General features: G+C 39.7%; 1 protein-coding gene and 1 pseudogene across 9 annotated transcripts in view; one reads left to right on the top strand and one right to left on the bottom strand.

Annotated features, from left to right (window-relative positions):
• STK38 (serine/threonine kinase 38) overlaps positions 1–14,016 on the top strand; it is a 53,588-nt gene that overhangs the window by 19,313 nt on the left and 20,259 nt on the right. For all 9 annotated transcript variants that reach the window (XM_017010226.2, NM_001305102.2, XM_047418142.1 and 6 more), the window contains 5 exons: positions 2,525–2,576; positions 3,704–3,826; positions 6,350–6,433; positions 10,327–10,450; positions 12,675–12,829. In XM_017010226.2, coding sequence (XP_016865715.1) covers positions 2,525–2,576; positions 3,704–3,826; positions 6,350–6,433; positions 10,327–10,450; positions 12,675–12,829 — 538 coding nt within the window. The remainder of the gene's footprint in view (positions 1–2,524; positions 2,577–3,703; positions 3,827–6,349; positions 6,434–10,326; positions 10,451–12,674; positions 12,830–14,016) is intronic.
• RN7SL748P (RNA, 7SL, cytoplasmic 748, pseudogene) lies at positions 5,666–5,976 on the bottom strand (annotated as a pseudogene).

The raw sequence follows: 14,016 nt of genomic DNA, 5'->3' as shown, positions 1-14,016 counted from the left end.
AGCCACAATGGACTACATGCTATTTCTGCAGCATACTGTACACTCTTTTTTTTTTTTTGAGATGGAGTCTCGCTCTGTTACCGAGGCTAGAGTGCAGTGGTGCGATCTCGGCTCACTGCAAGCTCCGCCTCCTGGGTTCACAACATTCTCCTGCCTCAGCCTCCCGAGTAGCTGGGACTACAGGCGCCGGCCACTACACCTGGCTAATTTTTTTTTTTTTTTTGTATTTTTAGTAGAGATGGGGTTTCTCTGTGTTAGCCAGGATGGTCTCGATCTCCTGACCTCGTGATCTGCCTGCCTCAGCCTCTCAAAGTGCTGGGATTACAGGCGTGAGCCACCGCACCTGGCCAGCATACTGTAGTCTTATCCTTCTTTGCTCTGTTTGTACACATTGCCTGTTTATCTGGAATGCTGATGAGTGGTGGAGGAGAGATTCTAGCCCATGTGCTTTCATTTATTGTGCTGAATAAATGAAGGTTCTGTGGAATTGGTTGTAAGGAAGTTTTACTTGCTTCTTTTAGTTTTATGAGACTATAGATCAAAAACATTACTGCATGTACTTTCTAAAGTTCAGTATTCCAAAAGTTTGATGTCTGAAGGTTTTTTTTTTCTTTGAGGCAGAGTCTCACTCCGACATCTGAGCTGGAGTGCACTGGTGTGCTCTCGCCTCACTGCAACCTCTGCCTCCCAGGTTCAAGTGATTCTTGTGCCTCAGCCCCTCCCAAGTAACTGGGATTACAGGCACCTGTCACTATGCCCAGCTAATTTTTATATACATATATGTGTGTGTGTGTGTGTGTACTAATATATATACATATATTACATATATGTGTGTGTATATATATGTGTGTATATATACGTATATACATATGTGTATATGTATATATGTATACATGTGTACATATATACATATGTATACATGTGTATATACATATAAATATATATATATATACATATATTTTTTTTTTTTTTTTTGAGACGGAGTCTTGCTCTGTCACCCAGGCTGGCATGCAGTGGCGTGATCTTGACTCACTGCAACCTCTGCCTCCCAGGTTCAGGCAATTCTTCTGCTTCAGCCTCCTGAGTAGCTGGGACTACAGGCGCTCGCCACCACGCCTAGCTGATTTTTGTATTTTTAGTAGAGACAGGGTTTTACTATGTTGGCCAGGCTGGTTTCGAACTCCTGAATTTATGATCCACCCTCCTCAGCCTCCCAAAGTGCTGGGATTACAGGCGTGAGCCACCACGCCCGGCCTTTTTGTTTTTTTTGAGACAGGGTCTCACTCTGTCACCCAGGCTGGAGTGCAGTGAGTGGTGTGATCTCTGCTCACTGCAGCCTCCACCTCCTGGGTTCAAGTGATTCTCCTGTCTCAGCTTCCCAAGTAGCTGGGATTACAGGGTATGCCACCATGCCTGGCTAATTTTTGCATTTTTAGTACAGACCAGGTTTCACCATGTTGGCCAGTCTGGTCTCGAACTCCTGACATCAAGTGATCCACCCGCCTCGGCCTCCCAAAGTGTTGGGGTTACAGGCGTGAGCCACTGCACCTGGCCTAATTTTTATATTTTTAGTAGAGATGGGGTTTCACCATGTTGGCCAGGCTGGTCTTGGACTCCTGACCTCAAGTGACCCATCTGCCTCACCTCCCAAAGTGCTGGGATCACAGGCGTGAGCTACCACACCCAGCCTGATATATGGAGTTTTGATAGTGGTGCCAGTCACCTTTTTGATCACTTTTTCCCCTTAAATTTCCAAATTCTGCTTTTAACTTTGTTGTTTGTTACCCTTTCCTCATGGCAGGGAAGAGGAGGAAGATGCAGAAATAAAGGAAGTAGACTTCAGTCAGAGAGAGGGAAAGAAACAGCATGATATAAGAGTTTATCAAATACCAGCTGTTTTGTGGTTTGGTAAGGAGGAAATAACTGGAAAAAAAAAAAAAAAAAAACACCCAAAACCAAGAGAGGACATTTTTTTGAAACAAGAGTCTTTGTTGCATTAACATCTTAGACAGTCTTTTAAAAAATGTAGACCTAAGGGCGGGGCATGGTGGCTCACACCTGTAATCGCAACACTTTGGAAGGTCAGGCTGGAGTTTGAGACCAGCCTGGGCAATATAATGAGACCTCATTTCTACAAAAAATTTAAAAATTAGCCAGGTATGGTGGCACGCGCCTGTAGTCCTAGCTACTTGGGAGGCTGAGGTGGGATTGCTTGAGCCTGTGAGGTGGAGATTTCAGTGAGCTGAGATTGCGCCACTGCATTCTAGCCTGGGTGACAGAACAAAACTCTGTCTCCTCTCCTCGCAACCTGCCCCCCTCCCCCCGCCAAAAAAAAGTAGGCCTAACAAAGGATGGAAATCTTTTTACTTGTCTTAGTAACTTAATTTTTTTTGTTTTAATGAGACATTTTGAGATTTACCTGTTTGTGTCATTTTTAAAAATCTACTACAGTATTAAGTTACAGAATTTTCAGAAAGTTATCATTCAGATGTGATTTCATGTCTTTTGTTTTTGTTTGTTTTAGACAAAAGAAGTTAGAAAAGGTGATGGAAGAAGAAGGCCTAAAAGATGAGGAGGTAATTAATATTGGCAATGTTTTCCTTAAAACCCAGCGTGGCAGGTTGTATCTTGTCCAGTGAGTTGTTAGCCTTGGTACACATGAGAAGGGTTTTGGCTCAATAACAGAGGAACTTGAGGGGTAGTGTGCTTCCGGATTTGGGTGTTAATTCAGAGGGACAGATTAATTATTAAGTACCTAGGAGAGGAAGGCTTCTCTAGATGCAGTTATAGTAAACTAGATTTAGAATTCCAAGAGAAAGCAGGGATGAAATCAAATTAAATTTTAAAAGAGCAAGTTGTAGCATTTTTATAGAATTCACTGAAAAGTCTCCGTAGGAGTAGGGCAAATTTTTGAAATATTTATTTATTTTACTTTTTCTGGGATACATACGTGTGCTGAACATGCAGGTTTATTACATAGGTATATATGTGCCATAGTGGTTTGCTGCACCTATCAACCTGTCATCTAGGTTTTAAGCTCCGCATGCATGAGGTATTTGTCCTAATGCTCTCCCTCCCTTTCCCCCCATGCCCCGACAGGCCCCGGTGTGTCATGTTCCTGAAATCTTTATTAAGGCAAAATATCCATCTCAAATCAGCCCTTCCACCCAGTGCCCACAGATACAGTAGGAGAAAATATAGTTAACAAGGGACTGTGCAAGGAACTGAAATGGTAGTGGAAATGCCTTCAAAAATAGGACTGGCTTGCAGAACCCAGGACGGTGGTGAAAAATACCCAATACTTGTAGAAATAACAGAAAGTTAGAGTATACAGTGTTTAAGCCAGAGGGAAAGATAAGAACACATTTTTAATTTATATTAAACAGGATAAAGGAAAATATTGTTGATTATTTATCCCTCCCTTCACCAAAAATGTTAGGATAGTGGATTGCTGAAGTAGGTTAGTCAGAGTTCCCAGAGGAGGCACCCATCTGTTCAGTGTGGCTTGGATGTTGTGTCTAAATGCCAGGAAAGGGAGAAGTGACCTCTTAAGGATCCTTCTGGGGTGATTTCATATGTGAAAAGATTATCCTTAGTCCACTTGGACCTGTTTTCTAGCTGGGTAAGTCACAAACATGACTTGTTACAGAGTTTCAGAATTTCAGTTCCTTCCCGTCTCCTCCCTTTTTTATTTAAATATTAGAAACGACTCCGGAGATCAGCACATGCTCGGAAGGAAACAGAGTTTCTTCGTTTGAAGAGAACAAGACTTGGATTGGAAGATTTTGAGTCCTTAAAAGTAATAGGCAGAGGAGCATTTGGTGAGGTAAAAATCACAGCTACTTGTCAAGTAGAAAAATATTGCAAAACTTCAAAGCTTCTAACATACCATTAAGTCATGATTGTTGATATAACAAATATATGGAATTAAATGAGTCAGGCATGCCAGCCCCACATCCTAATTGCTTTGTCTGTCTGCTTTCTCTTTTTCTTCTCTCCGCAGTCCCAGATCTCTGTTCTCTGTTTTGCCAGAGATGGTGTTGGTGTTTAAATATTGACTTAGGGGGAGAGTTGAAAGGTAGAAGGAAATCAACATTTATTATTTACAGGCTGCTTTTTTCCCATAATCAGGACAGTAACCCATTTTATAGATGGTGAAATTAAGACTCTAAAGGTATATATAATGTCTCTTGTTATCACACAGCCATTGAGTACTGGGACCAAAAGTTGGGCTCTACTTCCTGAACTCAAAGAGCTTGCTTTTCCCAGTACTGCACTGCCTCTCGAGAAGGAAACTAATAGTGTATCTCCACCCTTTATTTCTCCCCACCAGATTGATACAGCTCTAAAAAGATGACCCTAGGAGGGAGGATTTACAGAAAGGAGTTATATAGGTAGTGGTGGAGAGTTGAAAGCATTTGCGACTTTGTCCCCGCAATTCTTGGAAATGATCCTGCTTGGGCACAAGAGCAATCTGTTGGGGAGAGCTTGAAAGAGCCCATGCAAGGTCATTCCTGTTAATGAAAAATGCCCAAACTGGATGACCTACTGACGCAATAATTGCAAGTATAAAAGGAGCAGTATATTATTAAAACCTGGTACCCCGGGGCCAGGCACGGTGGCTCACTCCTGTAATCTCAGCACTTTGGGAGGCCAAGGCGGGCGGATCACAAGGTCAGGAGTTCGAGACCAGCCTGACAACATGGTGAAACCTTGTCTCTACTAAAAATAGAAAAATTAGCCGGGTGTGGTGGCACGTGCCTGTAATCCCAGCTACTCAGGAGGCTGAGGCAGGAGAATTGCTTGAACCCAGGAGGCAGAGGTTGCAGTGAGCCGAGATTGCACCATTGCACTCCAGCCTGGGTGACAGAGCAAGACTCCATCTCAAAAAAAAAAAAAAACAAAAAACCTGGTACCCCGGGGAAATGTGAATAGTATTCAGAGGCACAGGTGATAGATTGATCCCTCAGTGTTCAGAATTCCTATTGGCTTCTTGAAAGAGGGAAAAGTATAGTACCACCTCTGAAAGAGCTTTCTGTTTGGCAAGGAAGGGTTGTGGTACTCAATTAGGAAAAACATGAAGAAAGGTTCAGGGAGAAGAAAACCTACTTATTTTGGGAGAAGAGGGGAGGACATGCAGGAACTTGCAGTGAAATTTTTCTTTTGGTTGTAAATTTTCTTCATAAAATTATCTGTTTTCTTTAAGAACATTGGAAAACATAAAAGAGAAGGAAAACTACATAAAACACAATTTCCCTAATTACACATTTTGAATTTTCTTCTTCTTCTTTTTTTTTTTTTTTTTTTTTTTGAGACAGAGTCTTGCTCTGTTGCCCAGGCTGGAGTGCAATGGCTTGATCTTGGCTCACTGCAACCTCCGCCTCTCGGGTTCAAGTGATTCTACTGCCTTAGCCTCCCGAATAACTGGGATTACAGGCACCTGCCACCACACCCAGCTAATTTTCGTATTTTTAGTAGACGGGGTTTCACCAGGTTGGCCAGGCTGGTCTCGAACTCCTGGACCTCAGGTGATCCACCTGCTTCGGCCTTCCAAAGTGCTGAGATTATAGGTGTGAGCTACCGCGCCTGGCCTGAATTTTTTGTTTTTCTTTCCAGACGTTTTTCCTAAGCATGAAGTTTTACTTTGTTATTATTATTATGATTAAGTGACAAGGTTTCACTGTGTTGCCCAGGCTGGAGTGCAGTGGCTGTTTACAGGCACGATCTCACTACTGATTGGCATGGGAGTTTTGACCTGCTCCATTTCTGAACTGGGCCTGTTTGCCCTTCCTTAGGCAACCTGGTGGGCCCCCCCTCTGCCACCCTGCTCCTGGGAGGTCACCATATTATGCTGAACTTAGTTCAGACACCTGATCAGCATAATGCACCATAGCTCATAACTCCTGAGCTCAAGCGATCCTCCTACCTCAACCTCCCAAATAGCTGGGACTACAGGTATACACCACCATGCACAGCTACTTTTGTTTTAATTAAACATCATTGTAATCATTTACTTAGATTTTCTGAGCTGACTGGATGACATGTGTCAGAGGTGTAACGAGTCCTTAAATTTGAAATTGAAGGTTTTAAATTAGATTGGCTTGTTCAACTAAGGAACCAAAGCTGTTCAGATGTAGAGGTATTTGAGGATGTTTCCAGCATCGACTTTACTGTGTGTAATGTATTCATTTTGGAACACTGAAAAGCATTTTCTTCTGCTTTGTTATTACTAGTTGCTCATGTTAAAATTGTAATACTTTTTCAGTTAATTATTGCATCCTATAACACATGAAAGCATTAGGTTGGTAGTACGAGTTTTTGACTTGGCATTTCTTTTATAACTTTTTAGGTACGGCTTGTTCAGAAGAAAGATACGGGACATGTGTATGCAATGAAAATACTCCGTAAAGCAGATATGCTTGAAAAAGAGCAGGTAAAGCACAGTTGTAGCAGTGCTTTTAGCTTATTAATTTTTGTCTCCTAAAACTTTTCTTTTTGTTTAATTGAAATATATATTTTTATTACAGTTTTCTTTAGCTCTGTCATGTATGACTATATATATAATACTACCTTTTTCCCCCTACAAAGAAGCAGTTCATATTTAAAATCACAAATAATGCCTGTAGGTTATATGCAATCTTTTAAAAATTGAAAATCTGTTCCAAAAGCAGCTCTTACTTGTGTCTTCCAATTGATCACAAGATGTCCTTATTGTGAGAGCCTTTTTTTTTTGAGGTCGTACGTGGTGTGGTAGTGTGTTTCTTACCAAATGCTGAGAAATAGAAATTGTATATATATCTCATAACTAAGGACTAGGAATTAGAATTTGGAATTTATAATCTAAAATGTGTCTTTATATGCTTCATTCTGTTTACCTAAACCAAAGTTGAGTCTTCTAGGTAGCTCATCGGTACCTGAAAAAGACCAGCCTTCTAATTTCTGAATGAATTTGAAAAATACAATGCAAATGACAGAACAATGCAAATTCTCCTTTAATGATAAAGGATACTTTCTAAAACCAAAACCTGGTTTGCAAATCAATTTATAAAGTGCCTTATGCAAAATAAATAAGGTTTTAAATATTGGAAAGTATATTTTAAAAAGCAAGAATAGACTTTCTATAAATCTAGTTTAATGTAGCTGGTTGCTTAAGAAAAGATTGCAGTGGGTGATGACCGCAAATGTCCTGTAAAAGATTTGATGTTATAGGAACATGGAGACCCTGTGACAAGGAGAACTCCTAATTTAGGGCCAAAGAGGGGGGATGGAGATTGGCCCCACATCCAATCCTTTCTACCTCTTGAGAGGAGATATAATCACTGGTCTTCCCTGTCTTCATTTAAATGCCACCCCAAAATTTGGAATTTTTATTTTCTCTCAAATTTTCATGTGTTACCGAGAAGCTTTAGACTCCCAGGAATTTCAGTTGGGAGTATCAAATACCTGGGCGGTAAGTCTTGAGACACTATAGTTTATGCTAACGCCAACCTTTTTCAAAATTCATAGTAGGCCGGCCTACTTACATACTATCTACAAATTAGTGTGTGGTATGGGTGTGTAGGCACTGAAAAAGTTTCAGTTAATCTTGAGAAGGAAAATATAAAGCTTCTGCATTAATTAGTATGTTTGCATCTCATGAGTAAGTTTTGTTTTTGCAAGGTATGTTTCCTACAGTTTTAACCAAGGCTTAAGACCTCTTTTTATTAAATATTAACTGTCAGAGTAATACTGCAAAACAAAGTACATATGATTTTCAGTTAGTAATTTTATGTATACCAGGTGCCCCGCATGGTTTCTAACAGAGGATGATCCAGACATAATGTGTAAAAAGCCTTTTCGCAAATATTGTGCCTTCAAAATCACTTTCTAAAACTTTCCTAAATGAAAGTAAAGAAACTATTAGAATTAACATTTTAAATGATGCATTAACTTATGGATTAAATGGTACATTAACTTAAATTGTTTAGCTCACCTTAGCTGAGAACTCAACTCCTCAACTTAACAGATCTCATTATGAGCCAGTTAAAGTCTCTGGCCACAGACTCTACCTGGCTTAGCCATCTTGAAGAAGCATGCATTGGTTTTGTGCTAGATAAAAGATGGAAGTAGACCAGTGCAAATTCATCACCATTTTGGGGTAGGGCTGACAAAGTAGAGGTACAGAGGCAAAATTGTTTTTTTGTTTGCTTTTACTAAATAAACTGGGTAGGAATTAAAGCTACCCACTGAGAGTTCAGGTTATTTTTCTGCTCCACGTGGTGGAAATTTTTGCTACCTGGAAAAATTTAAAGGGTAAGACATGACATCTAACTAGCTTCTGATGTTTCTCTTCCAGTGCAAAAGGAAAACCTTCAGTTGTGATGCCAGTATACAGTTATTGATGGGACAAAAAACTGGCTTTTATTTCTGCTTTCTTAGGGCACAGGATAGCAACTAGCACCCCCCACCTTATTAAATATTTATGGAATAGGGGAAAGAGAACCTTTTTGTATAAATTGCACCTCAGACTCTTCCCTCCCTTAATCTATATTCAGCCAACTCCACTTTCAAACCATGAGGTTTCTTGCTACTGTTTCAGCCTCAAGAGAAAGGCAAGGTGTGCTCATGGTAGCTTTCCCCTTGACAAACAGGAAATGTTATGGGCACCATTGTGTCCTCCAGGGTGAGTGACAAGTGGTAATTGTAGTGCCTCTCCTTTTCTCTGGCTCCCTGCAGTAGGTAGGGAGCTTAATGGGAGCCAGGGGAGACAGGCAGATGAAGGCTGCCTTCTACTGTATTAATGTCTTGTAGTGACTGGGTCCTAGCCATGGCTGTGGGGCAGCAAGCAATGTTACTGTTTCCCAAAAGCTTTGCTTCTGTATTAAGGTCAAGTAAAGGCAGATGCTTTACTTGGTTTCATTGTGTTTCATAGCACTGTTTCTTTTCACCCTTATTGTCCATTTTTTCCCACCCCAATACCATAAGTACAGATGTAAAGATGTAGGTTTTCTGTACAGTTGCAGCTTTTAAAAAAATTCCCCAAAGAATGATTTTAGTAGATACTGAAAACTCAAATACATAAAGTCAAATGCCTCTGGGCCTCCAAGAGTTAGCATAGAAGCCTGAAGCAAGTTAGATATAAGACCAGGGGAGAGGGTGTTGAAATGGAAGAGTAATGGAAGAGTGCCTTGTCTCCCTAAAGACATGTCAATAAAACAAGCATCATATCAAACATTGTATTAAACCAAACAACAGCCATGGACTAAATTTGCCAACAGCCATGGACTAAATTTGCCAATTTGTGAACCTTGGTACATGTTTTACTTCAGAACATGTTGTAAAAAGTCAAGACCTGTAGCATATGTTAAGACCAAAACCACTATTCAGGGATTGGACTGAGTCTTAATAAATTTAGATCTGAATCAACCCAATTTAGACCTTGTGACACTTAAAAAAGAGGGGAGGGGCCAGGCATGGTGGCACACACCTATAATCCTAGCTACTTAGGAGGCTGAGGCAGGAGGATCACTTTAGACCAGGAGTTTGAGGCTTCAGTGAGCTATGATCACGCCACTGCACTCTAGCCGGAGTGACAGAGCGAGACCCCATCTTGTTTTAAAAAAAGTGTGTGTGGGGGGGATTTGATAATATGCAGTGATGTTTGATTACTGTTCTGCATTTAAAGTAAATAAGGTAAATTTGATAATAAAGCATTGCTTTAACAAAATAATTCCGGTTCTCTGAAACTTTCTACAACTTGGTCCTTTATAGGTATTTCAGTAAAAGTATAAAATTGGAAATGTCATTAATTTGAATCTACAACTTTTCATAGGTGTTCTTGTATTTCAATTCAGTAAGGATTGATTGAGCACATAGCAGTGAACTAAATGCTGTGGTATCATAGCATTCTAGAATTTGTCAGTGAGCTCACTGTTGTTGCAGATACTAGTGCAGACCCGAGGAAGAACTTGGAAGAGAGTCTCACTTTGGGGACTTATTTTTATCATAAAAGATTATTAGACAAAACTCTATGCAAAAGAGTAGTAATTTTAACTAATCAGAGATTCAGTTTATAGCAGTGTTAAAGTTGCTATTTGCATTAAAGCCATTCATTTTGCCATTTTTTAAAGCCTTTCATCACTCAAGTTTTCATCACTGAATACCTTGAAGTCAAATGTTGTCAATTTTGAGTTAGTAGGTTTGCCTAAGCAGAAATTGGATCTTTTATATCATCACGATTAAATACTCAAAACAGTATTTAAGCACAGTATTTAAATTGTTTAAGCAAATATACAATCTAATAAAGCAGAGCAAGCTTTGTCATTAATCAAATGCATATACCTCCAGGTTGGCCACATTCGTGCGGAGCGTGACATTCTAGTGGAGGCAGACAGTTTGTGGGTTGTGAAAATGTTCTATAGTTTTCAGGATAAGCTAAACCTCTACCTAATCATGGAGTTCCTGCCTGGAGGTAATTACTTGACGATGAAAGGTCATTTTTTCTTTTTGTTCTGTGGTTTCTTTCTCTCACATCACGATTAACCCTCCTTTCTACTTTTAAATGTGCTCACAAAGTTGCTTTCTATATCCTTTTTTAGGTCTATAAAGGAAGTCAGTAACCTGTCTTGTGCTGGGGTGCCTTTCTACAATCTTAGTACCATAAAAGTAACCTGTTAATTCATTTACATGATTTCAGATGGACATTTCTTTCTTTTCTTCTTCTTTTTAAAATATATAGGAATAAATTAGGGTGCTCTGCCTGCTCTCCTGTCAATGGGAATCATATATGATCAATAACCCAAGTGACAACATTGAAGCTATAACATCCTTTGCTCCAAATTTTTGTTTCTTTTTGTATAACATATTAATAAGGAGTGAATTTTTTGTTACCCATATTAGTAGCCAGAAAAAATTTCTCATTTCTGAAATTTTAAGTTTTATGTAACTCAGCATGAGCATCTCCTAAGACAGCTCCAAAGTAAACCCAGAACAGAACATGCCATCTGTTCTGAGGAAAGCAGTCTGTTTGTCAGTGAGCAGATGAACTCTGAGCAAACTCTGGTGGGAAAAAAAAAGAGAGAGAACTTTTTTCTTTTTTGTTCCTATAATTGTGGCATAATATTTTGATTTTGTGACAACCCTTAGATTTAGGGTCATCAATACTTTTTAATAAAGAAACACATTTAATAAAAAATAAACAGTTGATTAATGTTAGAAAAGAGTCTGGTAGAATGAGGAGAAACTTTTTTAACATTTAGATGCTAGTTCTTAAATAAGAGTAAGAGCCAACTTGGTTACCAGCTCCTAACGTGTCCTCAAGCCTCAACCTGTACCATCTTCCGTAGCTTCTCATGTCTCCTGGACCCTGCCCTTTGCACTTGGTGGAGCTGGCCTGCAGAGCCATAGAGCATCTGGCCTGAGCTCTCCAATCATCTGGGCAAACTTGCACAGGCGAGGCCCCATTGACTGCTCTCCTGAGCCACAGAACTAAGGCCGTATAGCTACCTTACTGGGGTAGCAGCCCAAGTGCACTGTCTCCATGTGTCTGGTGGGTCTCCAGATTGAAGGGCTGCCAGGAGTGATTAGGAAATCATATTTTTTAAGTATTGGACTGAAAAAGAGCACTTTAATAAATGGTTTAATTTTTGCCTGAGGGAAAAATAGCTACTTTTCTCCAATAATACAAAACATAATGTTCTAAATGAAATGAAACTGAAAAAGCAGCATGATGCTCTGTTAAAATCAGAGGTTTCTTTCTCTTTTCCTTGTTTTCTAACATAAGTGACTTTATGTGAGGTCTAAACTGAATCTTTACTGTTTCTCTTAGTTTTAAACTCCTTATACATATTTTCTTTGCATTTCTCACTGTTGAGTTAGGACCTGAATCTTTTTCTGCCATTTTATGTTGCTGGTATTAGAAATGATGAAATTTTGACTTTGCAGAAAACTAACGAGGTTACCTTTTAACTGCTAGAATACTGATACTGTGTTTTAAAAGTTACATAAAGGGTACTAGTGTCCATTTAAATACCTATAATAACGCACTAGAGAAAAAAAAGCACTGACCTTGAGAGGTGTTCATTGTACTCTTCCAGGAGGCAGTTATTGCACATTCTAGTGTATAGCATTTTCAGTTCATTTTTAGCTTTTGTTGACTAATGCTTTGCTACCCAAGTCCTTCCTTTTTATTTGTTTGTGTTCTGTGAATAGAAGTTGGAAAGCTTGTTTTCAGCCTGCCCGAGTGTTTACATTTTTATTTGGCATTTCAGCCTCTCTATAACAATACATAGATTGTATGTGGAAGTGCCATTTAGTTACAGATGCAGAAAAGCTTGCAGATACTTGTTCAGGCAAAGTGAAAAGTAAAGTAGCATTTTACCCCGAGTCCAAAAAATTATCCTAAGCAAATACAGTTGTTTTTTAAAGTGTGGGAGAAATTTTCTTTTTCTCTCAAAAGTAAAATAGAAATCACAGCTTAGTGGTCAACCTTAGCTAGCTTAGGTGTGAAAATCCCATTTCTTCCCATGTTGGCCATGTGGGTCTATCTCTGGCACACAGAAGAGGTCTGTTTAGCCGCCTTATTTTGGCAGATAGGGAAGACATATCTGAAAATTGGTACTCACTCGTATGTTGTGTGTGTGTGTGTGTGTGTGTGTGTGTGTGTGTGTGGTGGCTTTGTATCTTCTTGTTTCCAGGGGACATGATGACCTTGTTGATGAAAAAAGACACTCTGACAGAAGAGGAGACTCAGTTTTATATAGCAGAAACAGTATTAGCCATAGACTCTATTCACCAACTTGGATTCATCCACAGAGACATCAAACCAGACAACCTTCTTTTGGACAGCAAGGTATTGGGGGGGCATTGGCATGAACTATGCACGTTTACTGATCTGAGCAGCCTCTGCTTTAACACCTGCACCCCTGTGGTCATCCCAGTGGGCGAGCTGTGACCTGCCTTGTCATGATTTTCCTTTTTTTTTTAAACAGGTAAGTTTGCTGTCACTTCCTTTCTCTGAAAGGCTATGGTTCTGTAATTTGGTTGAACATTTCTCTTAAAAATAAAGGAAACTTGAAAATAAGAGCAAAATTGATGTAGAGGGCAATTTTGTAATAAAGCCAAAGATAGTCACCTTCTCTTAGCATATAATTAACTGTGTTACTAATACATCACCTATCTAGAGCCCTTCTGTTGGGCAACCTCATCAGTTAATGAGGAACCCAGCCAAGAAGCAGGAAATGCAGTAACAACAAGAACCTGTAACAAAGTCCAGGTTCCAAATCATGCTCTCTGCTTAAAGAAGAGTCCTGCCCAGCCTCTTTTTTTTTTTTTTTTTTTTGAGATGAAGTCTCACCCTGTTTGCCCAGGCTGGAGTGCAGTGGCGCGATCTTAGCTCACTGCAACCTCCGCCTCCTGGGTTCAAGCGATTCTCATTGCCTCAGCCTCCCAAGTAGCTGGGATTACAGGCATGCACCACCACGCCCCTGCCCAGCCTCTTAAATGGCCTGTTTATTTTTATTTTTAGACATGCAGATAAGCGTAGTTGCCTAGTTCCTAAACTTACAGCAAATTAGAAGATAATCCCTGTGCTGCCAACTAACTTGCTAGATAACCCTTGGCAAATCTCTTTACCACCTGGATCTCACTGTTCTTATCCGTAAAGTGAAAATACTGATCTAGGAAACCCCTAAAATCCCGTTCACCTCTAAAACTCTAGAATGTTGTTTTCTGTTAAGCAGACTTGTTGTCTTGACTGAATTTTTCTTGTAAGGTGAAAAGTAAATTTATTTTCTAGGGTATTTTTCTTCTTTGAAGTCTTTTGGTGACTTTTTTGCTTTGCTGTCCTTGAAAAACCTGAAGTTGTTTTTTTTTTTTTGAGACGGTCTCATTCTGTCATCCAGGTTGAAGTGCAGTGGCACAGTTATAGCTCACTGCAATCTAATTCTTGGGTTCAAGGGATCCTCTTGCCTCAGCCTCCTGAGTAGTTGGGACTATAGGTGCATACCACTGTACCTTTTTTTTTTTTTTTTTTTGAGA

This window comes from Homo sapiens, chromosome 6, assembly GCF_000001405.40.
Source record: "Homo sapiens chromosome 6, GRCh38.p14 Primary Assembly".
In the NCBI taxonomy this organism is placed as follows: Eukaryota; Metazoa; Chordata; class Mammalia; order Primates; family Hominidae; genus Homo; species Homo sapiens.
This window is presented reverse-complemented; position numbering and strand designations above follow the sequence as displayed.